General features: G+C 37.3%; 2 long non-coding RNA genes across 3 annotated transcripts; one reads left to right on the plus strand and one right to left on the minus strand.

Moving 5' to 3' along the window:
* Positions 1–277: 277 nt before the first annotated feature.
* On the minus strand, positions 278–25,051 carry LINC00977 (long intergenic non-protein coding RNA 977). The gene is made up of 3 exons (NR_033916.1): positions 24,988–25,051; positions 7,032–7,180; positions 278–1,217 (listed from the first exon to the last, which is right to left on the minus strand). It is a non-coding gene; the product is annotated as a long intergenic non-protein coding RNA 977 (long non-coding RNA).
* On the plus strand, positions 21,296–26,280 carry LOC124902022 (uncharacterized). 2 transcript variants are annotated; one of them, XR_007061110.1, is made up of 4 exons: positions 21,296–21,389; positions 24,798–24,921; positions 25,018–25,306; positions 26,102–26,280. It is a non-coding gene; the product is annotated as an uncharacterized LOC124902022 (long non-coding RNA). The 2 variants fall into 2 exon arrangements; XR_007061109.1 differs by having other exon boundaries at positions 24,798–26,280.
* Positions 26,281–27,586: the final 1,306 nt, after the last annotated feature.

A 27,586-nucleotide genomic window follows, 5' to 3' on the forward strand; every position in this document is an offset into this window, starting at 1 on the left:
TATCTTTTCATTTTTATTCTTTATTATTACACATTTTTGGTTTCCTGCAAAGCACTTATCACAACTCATAATTTTACATTTTACATAACTTACATTTGTATGTTTACATTTGTATTGTCTGTTATCTCCACTATCCTAAAAGATTCCCATAGAAGAAACATGCCTGTTACATTCACCAATAAACACACAATGTTAACACTTAATAGCACTTCAATAAACAATGTGTCAAATGAACAAATGAATGAGTAAATGGACAAAATGCGTCCTAAACCATGAGTGCTTAATAAATGTTTATTTAATGAACAAATTAGTTAATGAACAAATGAATGAATGATCTATTCCAATAAATATATGCTCCTAGACTGCTACTGACATTTTATTCCACTTAGGGTCTGCCACATTGGCTCTCCAACAGCCGGTACTATAATCCATGCTAAGTAATAATTACAAATTAGGAGTAATATATTGGTAGTGTTGGCAGAAATCCCCAAGTGATTCATTCTGCCAGATATGTTAAAATTATAGTTTAGTCATTGAATACTGAAGGTGATAAGTACAGTCATTTTTACAAGTTGTTCTGGATCCATGGACGAAGATAGGCATGTACACAAACGGCACTAAACTATGAGGCAGTGAGGTAGCACAGGGTTACGGGGGACACTGTGGAGGGACTTCTAAACTCAGTGTTTGTGATCAGGGAAGGCTGATTCCTGATCAGATTCTTAAGGAGTGAGTTATTCTGTGAGGTGACTGGTGGTGGTTGTATCAGGCAAGCAGAGGTAAAAGTGTAGACATCTGGAGGAACAGAAAAACAGAATCAACAGCTTCATGGATGAATATCCATTCAAAAGGAAACTCCAGCCTCTTGGCTTCTTCACCTTTTCTGTTTCTCCTTTCTTTAGTTTAAGAATACTTTCAAGCAAAAAGATAAAAAACATAAGAAATACCACTTTCAAATGAAAAGGCTTCTCAGTTTCATGTTAGGTGAGTTTCAGGCAATTCAAGAAAAGATTAGGAAATGGCATGCTGGCCTCTTTCTCATGGCTGTATTCCACAGAATGAAAGCAAGCCCAGTATTTCTGAGTAATTAGGTCAGCCTCACTCCCAGAGGATTAATTCAACTCCCAACAGATTATGGTAGCCACCTTTCATTTCCACAGACAGACTCCATCAGCACGGTGATTTCAATTAGAGAAGTGAAGCTCAATTGACTTATCCTAGACACAAGGAGACATAGCAGACAGATAACAAGCTGGATTACATAAGCATTAATCTTATGGTCATGGCATCAGAAAGATTTTTAAATGGATTACCTCTCTCCCATAGGAATAACAGAGAAGATTTTTTTCTCTCCTATTGCAATAAGTCTAATCTTCTCACAGGTGATGGGTTGATACATAAATTGAGAGTGAAGTCAAGACCTACTCACTTTCTGAGAGGTATTAAGCTCCTGGCTTTGGACCTGTACCTGCTAAAGACCACAGTGTTGGTCCTCACAAATTGCTAGATAAAAAGAAAACCTCAGATAAATTGTCTGGATGTCCATCCAGAAAACACCAGTGAGGCAGATAGGTTGAAAACTTGGTTATATAGACAAGGTGGAGACAACCTCATGCTAACAGTTAATAGCCAATGGCCTTAATGAATGAAGTGAAAACACGAATATTCAGAAGAGACTGCTTTCAGTCTCTTCTGTGTCTCATCTTCTCATGCCCCTTTTCCTTTCTTGTCTCTGTTTGGTGGTGTGATTTACCCTTCCTATCATGCTGTGCTTGGGTTGAATGACTTGCATGATCCACCTTTCCATGAATGATGCAGAAATCCATAAGATCCTTCATCAAGCACCTTCCTAAGACCCCACAATCCAAATCTCAGGTACAGGTTAGATCTCAATGTCTGCCCAGGCCTATAATACCATCATTCAAGTTTCAACCTCCTAGTTCCCAGGTGAAGAAGAAATAGGGAAAGAATGTCAAAGACCATGGAAAAACTAAACATCCACTGAATTTTTAAAAGCTCTAATTCCATCAAGGTGATATGGGAGTAAGGGAGAGGGTAAGTGCTGAGTAGAGACAGGTGGTGTCCCTAGCGAGGGCTCCACCCTCGGGCCTGTGCCAATGGACCTAGGTGAAGACAGTCACTCCTGTTTTCATACCCAAATGTTGCATGTTCCAAGACCACCCTGGCCCGCCACACCCTCCATTTTGTGCCTATAAAAACCTCAAGACCATAGCAGGCACAGACACACAAGTAGATGGACGTCGAAAGGAACACACCAGCAGGCAGGCCATTGACATTGAAATGATGCAGCTGCCAAGGGAAATTTGGCCTAGGGTGGTCAGAGGAGAGCCCAGCCATTGAGTGGTGTGACTCCAGGGGAAGACCATCTTCCCACTCCATTCCCCTTTTGGCTCCCCATCCATCTGCTGAAGGTTACTTCCACCATTCAGTAAAACCTTGCATTCATTCTCCAAGCCCGAGTGTGATCCGATTTTTCTGTTACACTAAGGCAAGAACCCCGGGATACAGAAAGGCCTCTGTCCTTTGAGCTGATTAACGTCTAATTGAGCTGATTAACACAAGCTGCCTATGGATGGCTAAACTGAAAGAGCACACTGTAACACATGCCCAGTGGGGCTTTGGGAGCTGTAAACACTCAAACCTAGACACTGCCGTGGTGTTGGAGCAACGACCTGCCCATCTGCATGCTCACTTAGGGGTATGAGCAGTGGGGCACTGAAGAAGCGAGCCACACCCTCATCACATGCCTTGCGAGGGGGATAAGGGAACTTTTCCTGTTTCAAGAGGACTCAGACAACAGAGTGAAAAAGCAATCTACAGAATAGGAAAAAACATTTCAAATTCTGTATATGATAGGAAGTTATTGTCCAGAATATATAAAGACCTTCTAAAACTCAACAACAACAAAAGCAAATAACCCAATTAAAAAATGAGCAAAGGATTTAAATAAATCTTTCTCCAAAAAAGATATATAGTCAACAAGCACTTGAAAAGATGTTCAACATCACTAATTACTGGGGAAATGCAAATCAAAACAACAATAAGATACCACCTGACATGCATTAGAATGAATACTATTAAAAGAAAGAGAAAGGAAGAAAGGAGGAAGAAGAAGAAAGGGAGGGAGGGAAGGAGACAGAGAAAGAAAGAAGATAACAAATGTCAGCAAGGATGGAGAGAAATTGCAACCCTTGCATACTGTTCATGGACATGTAAAATAGTGCAATCACTTCCCTATGGAGAACAGTATGGAAGTTCCTCTAAACATTGAAAACAGAATTACCATATAGTACAGCAATTCCACTTCTTGGTATAAACCCTAAATAATTGAAAGCGGGGTTTTAAAGAGATATTTACCTATTTATGTTCACAGCAGCATTATTTACAATATCCAAAAAAAGGAAGTAAATCAAGTGTTCATTAACATACGAATGAAGAAACAAATGTGGTTCTATACATATAATAGAATATTATTTAACCATAAAAAGGAAGGAAATCCTGACATAAGTTACAATATTATACTAAGTAAAGAAAAACTAGCCATGACCGGGTGTGGTGGCTCATGCCTGTAATCCCAGCACTTTGGGAGGCTGAGGCAGGCGGATCACCTGAGGTCGGGAGTTCCAGACCAGCCTGACCAACATGTAGAAACCCCGTCTCTACTAAAAATACAAAACTAGCCAGGCGTGGTGGCACATGCCTGTAATCCCAGCTACTCGGGAGGCTGAGGCAGGAGAATCGCTTGAACCCGGGAGGCAGAGGTTGTGATGAGCCGAGATTGCACCATTGCACTCCAGCCTCGGCAACAAGAGTGAAACTCCATCTCAAAAAAAATAAAAAATAAAATAAAATAAAAACTAGCCACAAAACATATATATAATATGATTTCACTTATCTGAGGTACCGAGAGTAGTTAAATTTACAGAGCTAGAAAATAGAAAGGTGGTTGCCAGGCACTGGGGCAGGAGGGAAGGGAGAGTTGTTGTATAATGGGTATAGAGTTTCGGTTTGCAAGAAGAAAAGACTTTTGGAGATTAGCTGTACAACAATGTGAATATGCTTAACAATACTGAGATGTACCCTTAAAATGTTAACATGGTAAATTCTACATTATATGCATTTTACCATAATTAATTTTTAAAAAGGTTTCAGCCCATGTGCTTTTAGTGGGGGTCCTATCACCACTAAGTGGACAAAAATTGATCTTGAGGGAAAGAGATTAAAAAAATTGTATCGTCTTCGGTGGGAAGCACAGATAAACATAAAGTTAGATAAATAAAAAGCATATCTGCAGTGTTCAAGTTCTGTGGGGGTGCAGTGATTATGGGGTAAAAAGCATCTAAAAAGCCTCTTTATGGGATCAGTCATGAAAAGCTATGGAGAACTCCTGCTCTAAATTATATCTGGGTTTTAGTTTTCAATTTTCAAACACCTGCAAGAGGTCTTTTCTGCCCATCTCAGACACAACTTGCACTTGACCAAAGTCAGAATTCTCTTCTGTCACCACCATTTGTTGAGCACCAAGCCTGTTTAAAATTGCATGCCAAGGCCAGGTGCCGTGGCTCACGTCTATAAACCCAGCACTTTGGGAGGCCAAGGTGGGCAGATCATTTGAAGTCAGGAGTTCAAGACCAGCCTGGCCAACATAATGAAACCCCATCTCTAGTAAAAATACAAAAATTAGCCTGGCATGGTGGCATGCACCTGTGGTCCCAGCTACTCGGGAGGCTGAGGCAGGAGAATCACTTGAACCCAGGAGATGGAGGTTGCAGCAAGCCAAGATCGCGCCATTACACTCCAGCCTGGATGACAGAGTGAGACTTTGTCTCAAAAAAAAGAAAAAAAAAATGCATCCCAAACACTGGATTGTGCTGTGGGAAAACAGACCTTAAATAATAAGAAAGTGGTCGTATCAATTCCCTACTAAATCAAACCTTCAATGGCTCCCTAACACAATATAAAACTATAAAACCCAACCACCATGACCTGGCAGGCAAGTCCGTAAATCATCTACCCTCATCTAATTAAACTAACTTCTCCTCAGTTGTAGTTAATCTCCCATCCACCCAGAAGCTACTGGGAACTTTGCACCCCCTATTACCTGTGATTACAAATCCCTACCTTCCCATGTCTGACTCTTTAACAGGTGACTATCATTGAAAGCTCTTATAAATCAACTCAATATTTCTAACTCCTCAGGAAAGCAAAGTCGTCATTCCTTCCTCTGTTGTCCCAAGCCACTGTATAAATACATTCATTAGATGTGGTGCATCTTTTTTAAATCACTCTGTTAATTACGTGCTTTCCTTTGAAGAATTATTTCACTATCCTTTAACTTCCATTGTTCAGCATAAAATTTTTAAGAGTCATCCATGTTTTTGTGTATATTAGTTGTTCGATATTTTTTATTTTTGAGTAATATCTCATTGTATGAATGTATCATAATTTGTTATCCATTTATCCATTTATAAACAATGGGGTTGTTTCCAGTTTTTGGCTATTCATCATAAAGCTGCACAAATCTCATAATGAAAAAAAATTATGTGCTTTCCTGTCCTATAAATCCAGGACTCCCTTAGGGCATAGAATATGTGCCTATCACAAGCATTGCATATGACATACAGATTGCTAAATGGATAAATTAATACATGAGTAAAATTAATCAAGTAGGGAGTTATTTTTTAATTAAGAGGACTTTGGGAGACTTTACGGGGGGAGTTAGTATTTGGATTTGGGTGTAAAACTGTCTCTACTTCCAAAATACCCTACTAAAATGACTTTAAAACCCCTTCTGGATTATCAAATACTTTAAAACTTAGAGTAAGAATCAGAAATTACAGACATCTTCAGCAAAACAGGGAAGAAAATCACCTCTTCTTTATACCCAGAAGAAACTGACATTAATAATTTAGACATGTTTTCTTTCAGACTTGTGCTAAGCATTTTTCTCTATATAACTGAGATAATATAATTTTATAATCTACCTTCCTCATTTAATAAGTATTTTTATTATCATTAATAAACATTACAAATATAATTGTTAATAATTACATTCTGTTTCTTCTCATGAGCATATATAATAATTTACACATTCATTTTCATAGTACTGGATTTTTAGGTGGTTTCCAGTTTCCTACTCTCATAAATAATGCACATATTTTTTCATAAATATTTATTCTCATTTGTGATTATTTCCTTTGGATGCATTCCTAGAAATAGAAATAGTGAGTCAAATGGTATTAGAATATGAAGGCTTTTGAGAAATAATGTGCAAGTACTTTATAGAAAGCTTGTAGAAATGTATACTGTCACCAGCAATGTGAAAGGTTAGCTTTACCATATGAGCCAGCAATCACACTCCTAGGTATTTATCCAACTGGCTCAAAAACTTATGTCCACAGAAAAATATACATATAAATGTTATGACGGTCTTATTTATAACATCCAAGAACTAAAAGCAGCAAAGAGGTCTTTCAATAGATGAATGGTTAAACAAACTGCAGTACATTTATATAATGAAACATTATTCAGGGGTAAAACTAAATAAGCTATTTAACCACAAAAAAAGATGTGGACAAAACTTAAATACAAATTGCTAAGTTACAAACAAAAGGCAATCTAAAAAGGCTACATTCTGCGTGGTTCAAATGTATGGATTTCTGGAAAAGGTAAAACTATAGAAACAATAAAAAGGGCAGTTGTTGCCAAGGGAGGCCCGAATAGGTAAAGCATGGAAGATTTTGTAGGGTAGTAAAACTATTTTTTATGATACAGTAATGGTGGATACATGACACCATGTATTTGGCAAAATCCACAGAACCTTATGGCACAAAGAGTAAACCTTTAGGCATGCAAATTTTAAAAATTATTTACAGGTTCCAGACACTCCAATGGAATGCAGCTGTGACAAAAGATTCTGTTTCATACATTACAAATGTAATCATTACAAATGTAACCATTTATCAGTAAAAGTGGATAGGTATCATAGCTGGCCAATCAACAGTACTTACCTTAACACAGTAGGTGAGAAAAAGGGAGCAGGCCAGGGTGGGTCCTGGATTTCTGGCTTTTCATACATTTCAAATGTATGAAACAAATCAGTTTTAAGTGGTGGGTGGAGGAAAATGCTGACCCAAATAACTTTGGAAACAAGTAGATGCTGTAGAAAGGCAAAATAAATTGTACTTAAGTACTGTGCTCTAGCTGATAAAGTTGCTTCCCACAGAGATGCAGGTTAACAATTCTGTTATTATGAAACATTGCAGATGCTCCTAGACTTACAGTGGGGTTACTCCTGGATAAACCCAGTGTCAGTTGAAAACACCGTAAGTTGAAGATACTTTTAATACACCTACTGCTAGCCCAAGAGAAGATCAAAATTCAAAATTTGAAGTATAGTTTCTACTGAATTCATTGCTTTTTCACCATGATAAAGTTGAAAAATCATAAGTTGAAGTATTGTAAGTCAGGGACTGTCTGTATACTGAAATTGAACAATTAAGTAAATAGATCTCAAAGGTAAGAGTCAGGTTTCTTGCTGTTGGACCAGGAGTTTACATATAAGCAAGGGGAGGAAGCTAGAATGAGCCAGAATGATGACAAATAAAGAATTTCATTAAGATTGAAACATAAAAGAAAAAGTTGTAATGATAAGATCATGTATACAGTTTAATACCATATTGATATATTTTAATACACAGAATATCAAATGCTATTTATAAATACATGTATGTGTAATAAATATTTTTAAAAACATAAAATAGAAGAATGTACAACAACTGCATGGCTTCTTATCTCTAATGAAGGAAGGAAGAGGGTAAAGGAAACAGATACATACTAAATGGGATTTCAACTATGTTTATGTTTTATTTTATTTTATTTTTTTTGAGATGGAGTCTCCCTCTGTCACCCAGGCTGGAGTGCAGTGGCGCAATCTCTGTCTCTGATGAAGGAAGAAAGAGGGTAAAGGAAACAGATAAATACTAAATGGAATTTCAACTATGTTTATGTTGTATTTTATTTATGTATGTATTTATGTATGTATGTATTCATTTATTTATTTATTTTGAAATGGAGGGAATCTCGCTCTGTCGCCCAGGCTGGAGTGTAGCGGTGCCATCTCAGCTCACTGCAAGCTCTGCCTCCCAAGTTCAGGCCATTCTCCCGCCTCAGCCTCCCAAGTAGCTGGGACTACAGGCGCCTGCCACCACGTCTGGCTAATTTTTTGTATTTTTAGTAGAGACGGGGCTTCATCATGTTGGCCAGGACGGTTAGCCAGGATGGTCAATCTCCTGACCTCCTGATCCACCTGCCTTGGCCTCCCAGAGTGCTGGGATTACAGGTGTGAGCCACCGCACCCGGCCTATGTTTTATTTTTAACAAAGTTTGAAGTATGTATAAAAGATGTTAAGTTTTGTTAATAATAGGGCGGGGAGTATAGCGATGTTTTTATGTTACACTATAATTTTATGTATTTTTGAAATTTTTATAATTAAAAAAGTAATTTTCATAATCAAAGTGATTAAGGTACTTACACGAGGGTAATTCAGCATTTATCAGTAAAGGACAGGTAGCATAGCTGTCCGATCAACAGTACTTACTTAACACAGCGGGTAAGAAAGAAGGATCAGTGCAGGTTGGGTCCTGAATTTCTGTCTTAGGCAGCTGTGTAGAAACAGGTACCATTCACTGAGATAGGACTGGATGAGGTAGAATGAGTTTGGGGCGAGAGAGGAACTCCTATAATACTGGGCATAATTCAAGGCTCACCACCAACACTTAGTAAATATTCTCTTTACTGATTTAAAAAGAAATCCTTGGGGAGTAAGCACAAAGACATTATATCCCCAAAACCTCATTCTCCTTCTTTTAGGTATTTGGGGTATAATGAGTCCTATATACTCATCACAGGCCAAATGAACTAGGCAAGTGAAAATAGGGGAAGCATTTCCACATCATCTAATTACAGATATTATTAGACAAAAGGTTCCAAGTGAATCCTATTCTGACTTTAAAAACATTCTGGAGGAAAGAGCTCTTACATCTCAAATGGCAGAATATGGCTCCCCTTTTTTAAAAAAAAAATCAATAGATTCTCTTGAGAAAACAGTAAATTACTTCCTTTTTAGAATTTCATCACTAGCTTTCCCTCTATACAGACACAGTCTATAAAATCAGCCAAAATGATCTTGTTGAAAAGAAAGAAACAATAACATAAACCAATAGCCTGTCTTGTACCTGAAATGCCTAGATATTTTCTGTTTATTGTTAGAAGTCCTTTCAAATCTAGCTCAGCTCCCATAGAGTCCTGGTGACCACTTGACCACTCTGTGGCCTCACCTTGTTTCTCCTCGACCAGATGCCAAACAGAAATAATCACATTTATCACAATAGCTTGTGGTTATTTGTTTTCACGCCTGCTTTTATGAATCATTAGGCTACTTGGGAACAAGAAATATTAAGAAGTTAGTCAGGCAGCCTCTTGGGATATGTAATCTATAAGGTATAGTGAAACCTAGAGCAAACCGGAAATATCGCACTCATTGGATTATATTTATTCACACTAATCTTACACAGCTAGAAAATGGAAACTGGCCCTACTGCTTTGCAAGGAGATAGCATACCCGAGTGAAAGGTTAAAACATTCCTCACCAGCCTTACTCTCTGTCTGTTAGACTTTTTTGCTGCAGGCATGTATAAATTATAGCATGCAGTCTTGGCTTCACCATTATTATGGGGTGGCCAACTGAGCACTATCTGGCATCAGCAAAATCAGCTACATCCCCAGACCAAATAGTGCATGACTTAGTTCTATTGACTATAATTTGTGTCTTTATTAACATATCTAACATTTAAACTCTTCAATATGACCACAATAAGGTAGGCTAATTTGGAAAATTATAATTTTAAAACAATTTCTAATGAGTAAAATATTTTATGGAACATGTAATGAGTCCTATCTATTACACATAGAAGCTTTATCTATAGAAAGTTTCTACCCACCCTGCTAAATAAATATTTTTTAAAATGAAGAATATTTTTTGAAGGAGATCCAAGTTCTCAATCTGGTCATATCGGTCATCATGTGTGTAATCCCAACCCTTTTCCCTAACGCTGAACACAGTGTCTGACACTTAGAAGGTGTCCAACAGGTTTTTGATGCATGAATTAGTTAATTAAACAATCCATATTCAATATCTGTTTACCCTTCAGTGTTAGAAAATCCACTAGCTCCTGTGATAACCCATTTTATTGTAGTGTAACTGTAACAGGGAAAAAATTTAACTAAATATCTAATGATCTTCTTGAATCTCCCAATCGCTGAATTTTCTTCAGTCATAGTGAGCTAACTTCATGAATAGATATCTCTATAGATAAAGGACAGAACTCAATAATGAGTCCTAACTCACAGAAAAAACAAAGACCCTTCCATTTGAATTGTGAAGACTTAGGTGATCTTTCTCATTGCCTTGACTTTCACACCACATTTTTGGTGTCAAGAGAAAGGAAAAGCAGCAGATGTTTTCCATACCTTCTATTTGATAGAGATGAAGACTTTCTTAAAAAATTGTGGAAGGAGAACACTAAATCCAAACTTCTCTTACTCCAAATAGAATGAGGAAGAGAAAGGACACTAACATTGATGGAAAACCTATTACCTGCCAACTGTTTTACCCACATCATCTCACTGGATCCTAACGCCCACTCTCTGAGCCATATGCTATTTACCGTTTTTTAAGGTAAGGCATCAAGACTCAGAGAAATTAACTAATTTGTTTAAAGCCACACAAAGCGAGAGTTGGGTACCCAGACTTTGTCTACGGGTATACCCAGTACATTGTCCATCCTATGATAATTGTCTGGGTTCAATGTAATTCACATCACTGTGTATCCTTCAAACTGACAGTCAATTTGCCCACCCATCCCTACACCCTGAGAAGAAAGAAAAGAGGGACTTTTAACATTATTTCCATAATGATATTCTAAAGTGAGAAGAATTAAAGAAAAAAAACTATCAACAGACTTCATGGAGATTATCAAACTCTAAATCTGTGCCAGGTGATAAACGGTAGTGGTGGTTTTCAATCTCGACATGTCTTTAGGATACACAGTTTCAACAATCTCTTATTTAAAGGGGCTTACTGTAGTGGTGATTATCAGGAAAAGGGAGCACCAAGGGCTTGGAGTGGGCTTAGTTTTTAAAAAAAATTTGATAGTTTAGATATGCCTCCCTAGAGAGCATACCTCTTTAGAACTTTGAGAATCATTGGAAGGAAGCTAAAAAGTTGGTCTTTTATTTTGTTTGTTTTCTCTAGAAAGAAAGATCAACCAGGCAAAGTCATGTCAGAGATGTCAAATGAATGGCTTATTTTTAAACTTATTGTGTTTCCTATATCCACAAGGCTCATTGCAAGTCACTGGTCAGAAGCATCAACACCACCTGGTAGCTTGTTAGAAATGCCGAGTCCCAGGTTCCACCCCAGTCCTATTGGTTCAGAATTTGCATTGTAGCAAGATCCGCAGGTGATTCTTATGCATCTCAGCTTTGAGGAGCACTGATTTACACCACTTCTAAACACTCTCCCCTTTTCTCCGCATTAGTCTAACTACCCCTCAAATGGCTTCCCTTAACAACTCATAAGTCCTTTATCATAGCAGTTATGGCATTGTCTTGAAATTGATTGTCTGAAGGTCTATCTTTTATGCCTGAATGTAAACTCTTCAAGACAAGGTCAGTGCCTTCCATGTTCCCCACTATATTGTTGGAACCTAACAGTTGCCTGAAACAGAGAGAGTTTTCAGCAAATATGTAGGAATCCCACAAGATTGTGATCTTTATAAGATCAAGAACTACAAGTTAGTAATAACTTAATTGTACATTTTAAAATAACTGAAAGAGTGCAATTGGATAAATGCTTGAGGGGATGGACATCCCATTCTCCATGAAGTGCTTATTTTTGTTTTTGTTTTTGTTTTTGTTTTTTTGAGATGGAGTCTCACTCTGTCGCCCAGGCTGGAGTGCAGTGGCCTCACTGCAAGCCCCGCCTCCCGGGTTCATGCCATTCTCCTGCCTTAGCCTCCCGAGTAGCTGGGAATACAGGCGCCCGCCTCCATGCCCAGCTAATCTTTTGTATTTTTAGTAGAGGCAAGGTTTCACTGTGTTAGCCAGGATGGTCTTGATCTCCTGACCTCGTGATCCGCCCATCTCGGCCTCCCAAAGTGCTGGGATTACAGGCATGAGCCACCGCACCTGGCCCATGATGTGTTTATTTCATATTGCATGCCTGTATCAAAACATCTCATGTATCCCATAAATAAAACCTACCGTGTACCTACAAAAAATAAAAATGAAAATAATTTTTAAAAGAATCACATATGGGTACTTTTGCATCTTTAAAATGTAGAAAGGCCCTGGCATAAAATAAATACTCAATTTGTGTTGAATTCCTTAATTTATGCCTGATTCATACAAGAAAATGGAAAGGACTAAAAACATAGTTATTTTGCCAAATGTCATTTTTGTCAAGACTCCTTGATATCTGCTGGTCCTAATTCTTGCATTAATTCCCTTCTGTTTTCAAATCACATTGTTTATTAATTATACGAAGTAAAAACTTGAATAGTTATTTTCAGTTTGTAAAATAACCTTATCTTCACAATATCATCAATTCTTGGATCACTAAGAAATTATCTCTTTGATAGTTAAACTATCAAGTTCAACTAAGTCTTTGAGAGCTAATGAGTCAGCTTCAAAGAGGTTATGTGATTTTCCCAACGTCACAGTGCTGATAGGTGGCAAGGTCAAGAAGTGATATCAGATCTTCTGACCCCATGTTCTTTCCCTCTATACCACACTGAGCACTGTAATCAGAGGGCATCTGAGATTTCAGGAAAGTTACTCAGAGATCTGCTGGCACTCGGTTTTAGTATTTCATTCAACTAAGTATAGTAATTATTTTTCAGACAAATTTGTCATTCTGGTTTTGTAGTGTCTTCTGTGTTGATGCATGCATTTATTTATTCATCAATTTATTCCACAACTTTTTCTTGATTTTTTTTGAACAGTGTCAGCCCACTAGTGGTCACACACTATTTGTCTAGTTGAACTGATTAGCTTTTTTTGATAAATATTGACAATTCAGGTCTCTGAGATCTACTGGTAAAATAACCACATTTCCAGATGAAAATTATAAAGTCATCGAGCATTAGAGCTGGCAGATGCCTTTAGAGATTATCTCCTCCAACCTCCATTTCTGCCAGATAAAAAGGCTGAGAGCCAACGAGGGAGAGTGATATGCCTGAGTTCACATTACAAAATGTTTATCTAGCTCTTCCTGTGAGAACCTGAATTATCTGCTGTATATGTTTGCACTGATCACAAGGCAGGTAGTTGCCAGATCCCCATTTGGCTTGGGCATAGAACCAAATAATTTAAAAATACCCCCAAAGCCCTATATAATAGTTAGATGCCTTCTAAAGCCTGCAGCTGACAATGTACTCATATTGCTGATCCTAAGAGAAATTTGTAATGACTGAGAGGGATTGATTGCCACCTGTAAATATTCAGAACACATACTCATCAAGGTCTGAACAAGAACATATGTGAATAATTAACAAGATAGTGATTTGTAGTATCATGGCAATAGATAACCTGGTTCCTAAAGAGAGGTTAACCGAAGTTGCTTTTCCTTTTACAAGGCAACCATAAAGTAGATTCTTACGTTTGTTATCTCTTTTGTGGTATAGTTTTGGAAGTTGAATCCTCAAGAAACAATTTTTCTTCCAAAGTAAACATTGATTCTTACTAGACACTGTATTTAACATGGTACATTCTAAGCTTTGAAAGAAAGAGACACAGGTATAATTATGTAGTTTCTTCACTAATCTCTGTCACTAATCTTGTTCCTTTCTTTCTTTCCCCACAGCAGATCTAAGAAAAAGTAACCCCAGATCTTTCTGTAGTTTGATTGAGTATTAAAACATCAGGGTTATTTACAGTTTAGCTCTGTGATTTCATTTGACATCTCTATTTTATTCGTCCATCTGTAGGCTGTGATCTATGTCTTTACCAAAAGGCAGCAAACAAGAAGAATCAAAAGGAAGAAAGGGTCTTAGTATCCTCCCTTGGGTTATTTTCCCTAAAAACAAAAATTCTCTCCACCTCTTCTACCTAACACAGAGAGCATCTGAGAAACATAATCACATTGTTTCATGTGAAACTTATAAAGATACGGTCCAATAGCATCTCTTGCTCTCTTTTTCTCCCTCCCCAAAGAAAACAAAATCACTTTTTCCCCTTAAATGAAAGCTGTCACTTTGAAAAACCTTTTGAAACTGTCTACTTCTAAAACTAAACATATGTCTATGCTACGACCCTGCAATTCCATTCCTCAGCATAGGTAAATGAGCGTATTTGCCTACCAAAATTTGTATTGTTCTAAGTTCTTTAGAGAAACAAACCAATATAATATTTTATCTGTAAGTGTATAAATGTATGTACATACGTATGTAATATGCATGTATGTATGTACATGATTTACTATAAGGCATTGGCTCACACAGTATGGAGGCTGAGAAGCCACAAAATCTGCAGTTGGCAAGTTGGAGACCCAGGAGAGTAAATGCTGTAGCTTCAGTCCAAGTCCAAAGCCCTAAGAATCAGGAAAGCCAGTGGTGTAAATTCCAGTTGCAGTCACAGACTTGGAAGTAAGATGGTGACAAGGAGGTCAGGGGAAGAGGCATGTAGATGGACCTCTCTGAATTGCAAGAAAATGAAGATGTTTATGTCCCATATGAGTGCTCACCAAACAGTGACCTAGGCAGAGAAAGATGTTAATAATCAAATGAACAGGATGTTCATAGTTCTGTAGATACTAGTGAGCTTCTTTCCCCAGCCACTTTGTCATTGCCTAATGGGCTCATGACAAACTGGCCATGGTGGCAGAAGTGGAGGATAAGCATGGGCTCAGCAACATGGACTTCTACTCAGTAAGGTCAGTCTCGCTATGGCCACTGCTGAGTGCTCAATCTTCCAGCAACAGAGACTAACACAGGATCCCTAATATGGCACATTTCCTTGGGGTAGGTTAATTTCATTGGAGTGCTTCCATCATAAAAGGGGCAATATTTTGTTCTTACTGGAATAGACATTTACTATGAATAGAGATTTGCTTTCCTTACACATAATGCTTCTGCCAAAACTACCATCCATGGAATGCCTTACCTACATTCATTATTACACACAGCACTACTTCTGATCAAGGAACTCACTTCATGGGCAAAGATGTTTGGCAATAGGACCACGCTAATAGGATTCACTAGTCTTATCTTGTTCCCCACCATCTTAAAGTAGGCAGTTTGATAGAAATTGAAATGTCTTTTAAAGACTCAGTTACAACACCAGTAGCAGGCCAAAAAACCTGTGTCTCAAAAGGAGAGTAATCATCTGTGAAGGATGGCAGGGATCTGTTCTGTAATCCCAAGGACTTGTGCTGCAATCCAACTATAGGGGTATGCCAAAGACTGCAAACAGCATCCCTATATAGCACTGACACTTTAAGAATCATATCTTCTAGCTCATATGGCCCAGGTGGCAGAGCAGTTTGCACAGCAGCCTGGACCTGTTGCAGAGCCTTCTTTCATTTTGAACCCCACTCAAAGTATAAGAATTTCAAAACATTTTATTTATAGTAACTAAAAACTAGAACAATCCAAATGTCTATCTATAGTAGAATGGATAAATGAGTTGCAGCAAATTCATAAAATGGAATACTATGCAACAATAAAACAGAACATTTACTACAAACAATATTACCATTGGGTTTCACAGGCAAAGCAATGAATGAGAGAAAGAAGATACCTACAAGAAAGGACACACTATTTTTGTATACTTAAATTACATAAAAGTCAAGAACTAAATTGTGGTGATAGTAGTCAGAATATTGCTTACCTGATTTCAGGGAGGTTGGAACAGGTATGGACGTAGGAAGTGAAATGAAGGCCCCCTCTTTGGTATTGAAAATATTGCAAAATCCCTTCATGATAAAAACCCTCAATGAACTAGGCATTGAGGGAACATACCTCAAAACAATAAGAGCTATTTATGACAAAACCACAGCCAACATCATACTGAATGGGGAAAAGTTGACAGCATTCCCCCTAATAGCTGGAACAAGGCAAGGATGCCCGCTCTCACCACTCCTATTCAACACAGTACTGGAAGTTCTAGTCAGAGCAATCAGTCAAGTGAAAGAAACAGAAGTCATCCAAATTGGAAAAGAAGTAAAATTGTCTTACTCACTGATGACATGACTATATACCTAGAAAACTCTAGAGATTCCTCCAAAGGATTCCTAGACCTGATAAATGACTTCGGTAGTTTCAAGATACAAAATGAATGCACAAAAATCAGTAACACTTCTATACACCAATAATGCTCAAGCTGAGAACCAAATCAGGAACTCAATCTCATTTACAATAGCCACAAAAAAAGCCATCAAATATCTAGGAATACATTTAATCAAGGAGGTTAAAGACCTCTGCAAGGAGAATTACAAAACACTGATGAAAGAAATCATAGATGAACCAAATGAAAAAACATCCCATACTCATGGATAGAAAGAATAAATATCATTAAAATAACTCTATTTCCCAAAGTAATCAATAGATTCAATGCAATTCCTATGAAATTACCAATGTCATTTTTTCACAGAATTAGGGGAAAAAAACCCTAAAATTTATATAGGGCCCAACCAAAAAAAAAAGCCTAAATAGCCAAAGCAATCCTGAGAATAAAGAACAAAGTCAGAGGCATTACATTACCTGACTTCAAACTAAGCTACAAGGTTTTAGTAACCAAAACAGCATGGTACTAGTATAAAAACAGACAGAAAGAGATCAAAGGTACAGAAAAGAGAACCCAGAAATAAAGCCACAAATCTACAATTATTTGATCTTCAACAAAGTCAACAAAAATAAACAATAGGGAAAAAGAGATTTTAATCAATAAAGGGTGCTGGAAAAACTAGCAAACTGTAGGCAGAAGAATAAAACTGGACCCCTATCTCTCACATTATTAAAAAAAAGCCCTCAAGATTGATTAATGACATAAATGTAAGGTGTAAACTTATAAAATTCCAAGAAGAAAACCTAGGAAAAACATTTATGGACATTTGCCTAGGGAAAGAATTTATGACCAGGTTCTCAAAAGCAATCACAACAAAAACAAAATAGATAAATGGGACTTAATTGATCTAAAAACCTTCCACACAGCAAAAGGAATAATCAACAGGTTAAACACAGCCTACAGAATGGGAGGAAATACTTGCAAACTATGCATCTGACAGAGGACTAATATCCAGAATCTATTAGAAATAAATAAATCAACAAGCAATAAACCAAATAACCCCATTAAAAAGTGAGCAAAGGACATGAACAAACACTTCTAAAAAGAAAACATTCAAGTGGCCAACAAACATATGAAAAAATGTACATCACCAATCATCAGAGAAATCCAAATTAAAACCACAATGTGATACCATCTCACACAAGTCAGAATGGCTATTACTAAAAAGTCAAAAAATAACAGATGTTGGCAAGGATATGGAGAAAATGGAATTCTTATAGACTGTTTGTGGGAATGTAAATTAGTTCAGCCACTGTAGAAAACGGTATGGAGATTTCTCAAAGAACTAAAACTACAACTACAATTTGACCCAGCAATCCCAGTACTGGATATATACTCAAAGGAAAATAAATTATTTTATCAGAAAGATACCTGCACTGTGAGTTTACTGCAGCACTATTCACAACAGCAAAATCATGGAATCAACCTAAGTGTCCATCAATGGTTGATTGGATTTTAAAAACTGTGGTATATATACACCATGGAATACTATGCGGCCATAAAATGAGTGAAATCATGTCCTTCATAGCAATGCAGATGGAGCTGGAGGCCATTAACCTAAGTGAAACAACTCAGAAACAGAAAATCAAATACCTCATGTTTTCACTAAGTAGAAGCCAAACAATAAGTACACATGGGCATAATAATGGAAAGAGACCCTGAGGACTCCAAAAGGGGAGAGAGTGGGAAGGAGATGAAGGTTGAAAAACTACGTATTCGGTACTATGTTTAGTATTTGGTTACAAGTTAACTAGAAATCCAATCCTCAACATGAAGGAATATACCTATGTAACAACATGCATGTATACCCACTGAATCTAAAGTTTAAAAAGAAAGAGAATATTCCATACATAAAATCTATTAATTTTTACGTTTAAGACTTGTGTATATAACTACACCTCAATAAACATTTTGTTTAAATGATAATTGACTCCTTCCTCCCCACAGCTGGGAATTGCTGGAATTATGAATATTTCTAGTCTTGTGTTCTTTCTCTGAGCAGCCATACCCTATGGGTTATCCACATTTTTTTTTTCATAAGGGAATTCCTCTTAGGAAAGCATGTATTTCAGCCACAACAAAATATTTCAAAATAAAAATTTAAACACACACACAAAACAAAACATTTTAACAAACAATCATTTTCATTATGTATGCAAATTCAGGGCAGATGTGTTCAGAGAAATAACTTAAATCCACCCACCACTAGACAAAAAGAAAAACTGAATAAGCATTTCCAAAATATTGTAATGATTTCCCCCCGCCTCCTAGTCAAGACTGGCAACAGAATTGTAGAAACACCATGAGAAAGGTCTCTCTGAATGTGTGTGACTAGAATTCTCAGATGGTGCTAGGTGATGGGAAATTTGATTTGACTTCAAATCCTCAGCTTTGAAGTCGAGCAGCGACCTTTAAGGGAAAAAGTGAAGTCCACTTTGGAATGACCCATTATATTCTTACTTATTTACATGCATTATCTCACTGAACACCTTTAAGATCAGTAACATCAGAAAATTTTACTTAGAGAACTTAAGCAACTTCTCCCCCAACATTATAGACCTGTTTGGTTGGGAACCCTGACTGGAGTCCTCATTGTCTAACCTCCAGCTTCTGTGATATGGCACTTCCAGTCTGACTGTTGGCTTTCTTAGTGTTGCTTCTAGACTGAAATATCTAGGAATGGACTTATAGATTGCTTAGATTAGTCACGGTAGGTTTTCCTCCATAAAGGACATAGTATCTTCCTGTTTTATTCTCTTGATGAAAAATTTATTATCTACTCTGTAACAAATCAAATAGAATTAAAACTAATATTTATATAATTCACATGACTGTCATATTATTTATAACACAGTTCCAATTTGTTCCTCTTTTACAGAACTTTGGTGATGAGAGAATGGGCATGATGCCCAACTTCAATGCCATGTAGTGCTCTTAGGTACTTATTCAAGGTTCACTGGGGTAACTACTACGGTAACTCACTATGGTAACTACTATGGTAGTTCACCTCTAATTTCAACCAACAGCTTATTCCTAATTCCAAACTGGCTCTGCTCCTGACCTTGAAACCTAGTAGAACTAGGTTCTGGAAATCAGTAATACCCCTTTTCCCTCTCAAGACTCCACTCATCAGCCATCATGGCCATGTTTTTTTATGCAGAGCCTCCCAAGGTGATCTATAGGTATTACAATTTGGGGAAAATATGTTGTATCGAAAGCCTGTGAGAGCAATGTCTGAATGAATTAAAAAATTGCTAACCTTGCCAGGCTTTTCTTGGTTCTCCATCAGTCTTTCTCAAGTAATTTGTGGAACACTAGTTACCCGAACATATCTGAGGCTGTCTAATCAGGTTCTCTTGTTTCATAAGCTGTTTGCAATTTGGGATGCTTCTTCAGGGAAACAGTCAGAGCAGGGCATCACAGTTCCCAAGGTTACAAAAGGCTAGCCATGATGGGCACTCAAGAGGTGCTTGTTTCCTTTATCTTTCCAAATAAAGAATCATGAAACTCTTTAGAAATCTAATTACATTAACTACAGCCCTAGTTTATATAGTAGAATAGCTATAGATAACTTGGACACATTTTATATCAATAAAACTTATCTTCTAATAAATAATGTAAGTAGTAATTGAGGGCTCAGGCTATTAAAGAGGAAAGGGAAGGGATTGGGCTCATAATAGAAACTTCTGCTTTCTCAGAAATAACAAGGACAAGCTTTGACCATTCCTCCATCTCAGATATGGTTTGGCTGTGTCCCCACCCAAATTCCATCTTGAATTGTAGTTCCCATAATCCCCACTTGTCATGGGAGGGACTTGGTGGGAGGTAATTGAATCATGGGGGTGGTTTCCTCTATGCTGTTATTGTAATAGTGAGTGAGTTCTCACAAGATCTGATGGTTTTATAAGAGGCGTTCCCCTTCTGCTTGGCATTCTCTCTCCTGCCGCCCTATAAAGAAGGGCATGTTTGTTTCCCCTTCTGCCATGATTGTAAGTTTCCTGAGGCTTCTAGCCCTGCAGACCTGCACATCAATCAAACTTCTTTCCTTTATAAATTACTCAGCCTTGGGTATTTCTTCATAGCATCATGGGAACAGACTAATACAACCTCTCACTCATGCCTCTGCTGAGGAAAGTTTTGTCTGATTAATGGATGAGGGGAACAAGTTAGTCAACCTCTGTGACTCATTACCTGGACCATGGATCATGCTTTTTTCTCTGTTCCTGCTGCACTGTGACAAGGTCAGTAGTGTAGAGATTTTCTGCTCTGTGATGGGGGGCAAAGTTTGTTTAGAAGGAAGCACTGAGAGCCCATTTGGTGTTGAGCCTAAGTCATATGTCCCAATGTACATTTGTCAGCAATAAGCCTTATTTTTTAAAATACTTTTTGTGTACAGGTATATGTCACATATATTTCAGGCATCCAACATGTTCAGATAATTCTAAAGAATACCATAAAGAAAAATTCCCCTGTCACTAGGCTTAAGAGCTAACACTAGCAATACAATTGATATTATTTGTATATATCTTTTTGTTCCCATTCTTCTCTCACACATTTCCTAGCCCAGAGAGAACCACCATTGAACTTTGTGTTTATCATTTTACTGAATGTTTTCATACTAACATGAAAGTATTGTTTAACAATATCTAGGATTTTTGCATATTTATAAACTTTAAATGTGAAGAGTATCATATTAACATTCTTATAAAAAGTTTATTGTACTCAATATTATGTTGTAAGGATTTATTCATATTGATAGATGTATTGCTAGCTCATTCACCTTATTGTAGCACTCCCACAGACTAATATGCTGCATATATATGATGATAAATATTTAAATCGTCTCTCATTTTTCACTATTACAGATAATACTGCGATGAATATTTTGTGACGTATTTCCATATCCACATATATGACAGCTTCTCTAGGTTGTGTGTCTCAGAAGAGAAATAATGTATCATAGGTAAGTGTATTTTTATTGTTAGTATATATTGCTAAAGCTGATATTTGCATCCCTAATTCTTCATTGTTTTCTCAGTTATTGCCAATCCCACAGAAAGGAAGAGATAATCAATGCTTCCTCTTTCCTCTACCTAAGGTCAGCTTTCTTTCTTCCTTTTCTATCTCATAAATGCTTAATCATTCTCTAAGACTCATCCAACTTCCTCTCTTCTGTGAAAACTCCTCCTAACCCCACAGAGGTAAAGTGACCACTCCCTCCTTTGAGCTTTCACAGATGGCTCTTCTGCATAGGACTTGTAGATTACTGAATCCTACAGAAATTACTTTGCCTATATATCTATGTACAAAATTCACAAATTTCATAATGTTCAGAAGAGAAACCAAGGAGGAGACTCCAAAAGACAACACTACAGTGACATTATATCCTTTAATCAGTTCTTAATCATCCACCAATTAGAAAGGTTACCCAATAATAGAATCCTTGGCATTGCCTTTGATCCATATTAGCCTCTCTCATCTAGGACAGTTGGGCTCTTTATAGAAGATGAGGTGAAAAACTTTATTGACTACATCTACACCTGCAAACACACAGGTGATTCATAGTCCCTACCCACATTCCTCTTGCTGTCTACTTGACCATATGAGGCACACGTGTGAAACTATTATAATGAGAAAAATCCATGTGTAGAATGACAAAATTCTGAGGCTTTTATAGCTATTAATAACAGGGGCTCATGGGTGATAGCAACAAAATTTCAATTTGATAAATAAGAAACTATCTTTTGAAGTATTGCTTCACCTCATGTTACAAAGCCAAATGGCAAAGTCAGAGTTCATGATAACTCATTTTCTTTAATTCAGCATATATTTATAGAACACTCAACTATACCACAGTTCTATGTATGTGATAATTAAGACAAACCTGAGGAGTTCAATTTAATTAAAATTATTTTCTTATACATCTCTGTGAGTATGGTCATATTAGGTATATCACAGAGTGTGCCAAAGGCATTATAATTGCTACAGTTTTCAAAAACCTTGTTTCATTTGGTAACATTAAAATGGAAAAATTGTGACATTTGAGTATATAACAGGATGTAAACTTGGAAGGTTTTATTAAAGCAGCAAGATGAAATAGATAAAAAGTTCCAAGGTGGGGTGCTATGTCACCTGCAGAAATTTCAAAGTAAGTTTGAGAGTCATATGGATCTAAAACCCACAGAGATGTTAAAAGGGTGATGAAAGAATAGAGATTAGAAAGAATGTTTTTCTGGAGAATGTTTGTTTTTAAAAAGCTGTGCTCTGATGCCATCTCTCTCTCCCCTACTCCCGCCTTATTTTACTGTAAGATTAAAGAGAGTTTCTCTGGCTGAAGAGAATGTTTTGTGCATTCTGGAGAGAATATGGGGAAATGCTGTGGCCTGATGAGTAACATATGCCTGGAGAATATTCAGGTATGGTAGAAGGTGAAATGGCCTGCTATCACAGGATGGGAATAGGGGTCTGGAAAATCACTGCACCTCCCTCAGTGTGCACTGCAGTCTTCTCATATTGAATTTCACTGGAAAGATCAGTCATTTAAATACAGATCTGCCAAATAGGGCTTCTGCCACAGGGCAAAGACATCCATTGAGCATATATTGAGTAGACTGCCAGAAATATGAGTTTACTGTGGATCAGGATTACACTGACAAAAAGTCAAGACACTTCCCACATCCATGACATCCTGCTAAAAGAAATTCAGTTGAGGAGGCTCTAAAGATCCCACAGAAATATTCATTAGAGAAAGAGTTAGCTGAACTCATTGGCCAGGCTCAAATAAGAAGCATTTCACAACTGGCCAAATCAGAATTCTCACATCTATCCAAATTCTCTTCCTGCATTCAGCCCAGGACAGGCTGTCAATTCAAGCTTAAGAAAATAGGTGAACATGCAATAAAGAAGGGAAGGAAGGTGAGTGGAAAGAAGGGACTAATCATACCCCATCCTCCCAAACATAGACTGGCCTACTTAGGTTGCCTAACTTAATAAATGGGTTAGGGGAAGATGTCTAATCTTTGAATGAAGACTAAAATATTAATTTCTAGATTACCATGTTGAATTTGACATTTACTGGACATTTCTGACTCATCTGATTTTGATATACAGAGTGATTGGATAATTTTCTATCATCTATTATCTATTATCTAAGAATGTCCAAAAATTGATGCAATCTGCCGACATTTTCAACCAGTGGCCTCGATAACTGAGTAACTAAATAACAAAGTTAAAGTTGAAGATCAAAGTGAAGCTGTGTTTTGATGCCACTTTATGATTCATGATTGTTCAACACACCAGTTACAAATTTTACCAGTGACAGGTACTTTAAATGAGCTCATTTAATGTTTAAGATGGTCCTGAAAGTTTGATATTAATATAATCACCTTTAAGAAATGATTCAGAAAAGTTGAGTAATTAACCTAATTAAATGCAATACTCCATGAGTAACTAGAACTCTTCTTCTCACGAAAAAACTAGAGCATCTGTATAGCTCTAAAAGCCATTTGCCTTCTGCTGGGTCCTGGTGTCAGATAATGATACAGCAGAATGAAATAAACTAAGTATCGCAACATTTTATAGGTGCAACCTGAATGAAATGTCTCATATGAATATCAAATCCAAAAGATAAAACATGTCCTCTCCAAAAAAAATCTTGGAAAGACATGTACATCTTAACTAAAATCACCTGAAAAGGCACCAGAAAGAAATTGCATTTGTGATGGCAAAATGTCTTAAAATTTTCTTCTCTTTTTTCTAGCTTATTATACAATCAGCTACCTTCAATCTCTCATCTTTGCTCTCAATATATCCAAAACTCTCTTCCCAAATTCAGGGAGTCTACTGAGTTTTCTCTCTAAATTCCTTCACTAGCCTATCAGGTCTGTGATTTCCACCAAGGACAAGTTCTTCACCCTGCATAATAACAATAAAGCAAACACTTTGCCCTTACCCACATCATCACAATCAAAATGCTGAGAAGGGTAAAAGGTGACAGTAAAGAGAGAAAGGCCATTAATATTATATGTTAGTACATTCTATCGCTACCACATATGAGTTCATAGAATGGGAACTTCTATTTGCACTTCAGTAATTGAACGACTTCAAGCAAGAATAGCAATTATATATCAAGACTTAAAGTAGAGGATGAGCTTGGACGTGCATTATATTAGCATATCAATATTTTGCCTACTCTCCTAGTCCAGATGCTAAAAAGTTGAAAGGATGGTGAAGCCAAATCTAAGATCCTCATTTGGAAGACATTTTCTCCTACCTTTCAAAGGTAGTTCCTGAGGAGAGCAGCCATCCCCAAGTATAAGCTCTATGAGACCTATAATCAGTTTCTCTCTAATTGAGCATTTTCTTTCCTTAGATTTTGGAAGAAGCACGAAAATGATTTACTGATTTAGGAACTGGGTGGAGTAGACCACAAAAAGACAAATCAAAAACATCTGGAATGAACTAGTTGAGAGAGAAAAAGAGAGAGCAAGAAAAAAGTAAGGCTTTCAAATGAAACAAAGTACAGATGATTTGGCCAAATTTAAGCCAAGCCAAACACTCACATTGAACATTGCACTTGGGTGTGTTTCAAGAGCAGGAGCCGGCAAGAGGGAGCCTCAGCCAACACTACATCAGAGGCACATTGTGGATGGAGGAAATGAGTTTAGTCAAGCCAGCTGTGACTTCAAAGGGGCTGCTCTCCCAGAGAACAGTGAGAAAGGGTTCCCCCTTCAGTGAAGACTGCAAAGTTCAGCCAGCGCCAACCCAAAGGGAATGGACTCCAGGAAGGGGCAAATTACATTCAACATACAAGAAAGAATATTTTCCTTCATGAAGTGGCTGTGACAGTCTGAAGAGGAAGGAAAATGACAAAAAAGAAAGGTGAGAAGAAAATATTCTGATGCCCCTTTGGGGACTGTAGTCCTGTGTGCATACTTATAAAATGGGGTATTTGTATACACATTTGTACTTGCATAAGGTTGCTTTTAATCTAAGACACCTCCAAGCATGAATCATGTTTCCAAACATGTGGGAGGAGAGAACATAGGATTCTTCCCTGCTGACTGCCATAGTTTCTTTCCCTCTTTGTGCTTCTAGAAAACTACACATTTCTTTCAAATTACTTACTTCACACAAATTTACTGAGGAACAATAGGGTGGACCCTGCATATTCGAAGACAAGATCGTCTGTGTTCCAGTTCAAAAGAAGAAGCTAGACACATAAACTGAAGATTATGGTATTGAGTGATAAGCCTTGGAGCAGGAATCCCAAAGTGTGATCACATGACCAGCAGCAGCAACATCACCTGGGAACTTGTTAGAAATGCAAATTTGCAGGCCCTAATCCAAATCTACTGAATAAGAAAGTTGAGGTTGATTTAACAAGCCCTTCAAGTGATTCAATGCTTGCTAAAACTGGAGAACCACCTTGATAGTGAAGGGACAAAAGGACTTTTGTGCAGAGAGCTAACACATCTGAACTAACCTTGAGATCCTCTGCCATCTATAAATCACTTCTCAATCTCTTCCCGATAAGATTCTAAATAGGTGGCTCTCTGGCAATTCAAGGGATGATACACGCGTGTGTGTCTTCTCTCTTTATGTAAGTTATAAGATCTGAATGACAGAGGCACATTCTTCTTTTATGTTTTCTTTCCTTTCTCCTCCTATTTTTAGGGCCAGTACGTGGAAAATGCGGAAATTGGAACTTACTATAAGTAACTAATTCAGAAATCAGGCTGGCAGAAGTGTTATACATTCACTGGAAGAAATTGGTGAATATATGGAAAACATAAATGTTATGTATCCTGGAACTTAAAATAAAAATTAATAATAAAAAATGTTATCTCTCCCAAGCACTCATTTGATGCTTGAATCCTCTCTATGACATCCTTACCAAGGATTTGTTCTTCTTATGCTTGGGTACTTCAACTGATGAGAATCTCACTAGCTCAGGATGCAGTTTGCTTTCTTTTAGATAGCTCTGTTAGAGCTGCCTTCTTCCAGGGCTGAACACTTCCATAATTTAAATTCCATTTATTAGTTTTAGTCCTGCCCCTTGGGAACTCGTAGCAAAGATACTTACATATTAATGTGACATTTTTCAGGTACTTGAGGTTAGTAATTATGTAGCATATGACATAGATTAAACTCATAGACTCTGGAAACAAACTACTTGCCTTCCCTTCAAATTCTTATTCTGCCACTTACTTACTATGTGACCTCCAGAGAGTTATTTACTATCTCTGTAACTTTATTTCTTTATCTATATAAAAAGATATAATAATAGCAGTACATCAAAGGGCTTTTATAAGGAGTCCATGAATTAATATATGTAGATGTGCCTGGAACACGGTAAGTGCTCTAAAAGTTTTCACTATTACTAATCATCATCATTATTATACAGATCTTGTCAGATATCGGACCTAGGCCATCTTTCTAAGTCTTTACTCATTCATTAAGTGAGCTCATTCACTCCCATGGCTTCAATCACCATCTATATGATTATGAAAAATCTATTTTCCTCCTGAGCCAAGAGCTAAATGTAAGTGACCAGTTATGGATACAGGAATTGCTCTGGCCACCATAATTTGGGTGGAAATGGTGCATACCACTTCCAGTTCTTGCCCCTTAAAATACCATGAGAAATCTTGCACTCCTTTCTCCTAGTTCATCAGCTAACTGAATGCAGAGAAACCAGTGGAGGACTCCAAGGAAATTCCAAAGAGTGGTTGAACCACGGGTTGGAAGAAGTCTAGATCCCTGAGTCAATGTTTGGAGAGGAGCTGCCGAGGAGAGCCACCAGAGAGGGACACATGAGCAAGAAATAAACATTTCTTCTGTTAAAACATTGAGATTTTATAGCCCATCATGACTAATCCAATGAGACCCTAGTGTAGATCTTTTGCTTAGTCTTCGCTTCTGAGATCTAGAACTATATATTTCATTTGCTAATCACCATTTCTACATGAACCCTCAAATAGGGTAATAGGTAAACTCAGAGTTTCTAAGATTAGACTGTGTTGAAATCTTAGTCCTTCCAGGTACAGCTATATGACTCAATGTGTGTGTGGGGGCGGGGGCAGGGGGGTTAAATAAACTATTCATAACTGTATCTACTTAAAAGTAATAAGAAAATGAAATGAGCATATACATATATAT

Source organism: Homo sapiens, chromosome 8, assembly GCF_000001405.40.
Source record: "Homo sapiens chromosome 8, GRCh38.p14 Primary Assembly".
Taxonomy (NCBI): Eukaryota; Metazoa; Chordata; class Mammalia; order Primates; family Hominidae; genus Homo; species Homo sapiens.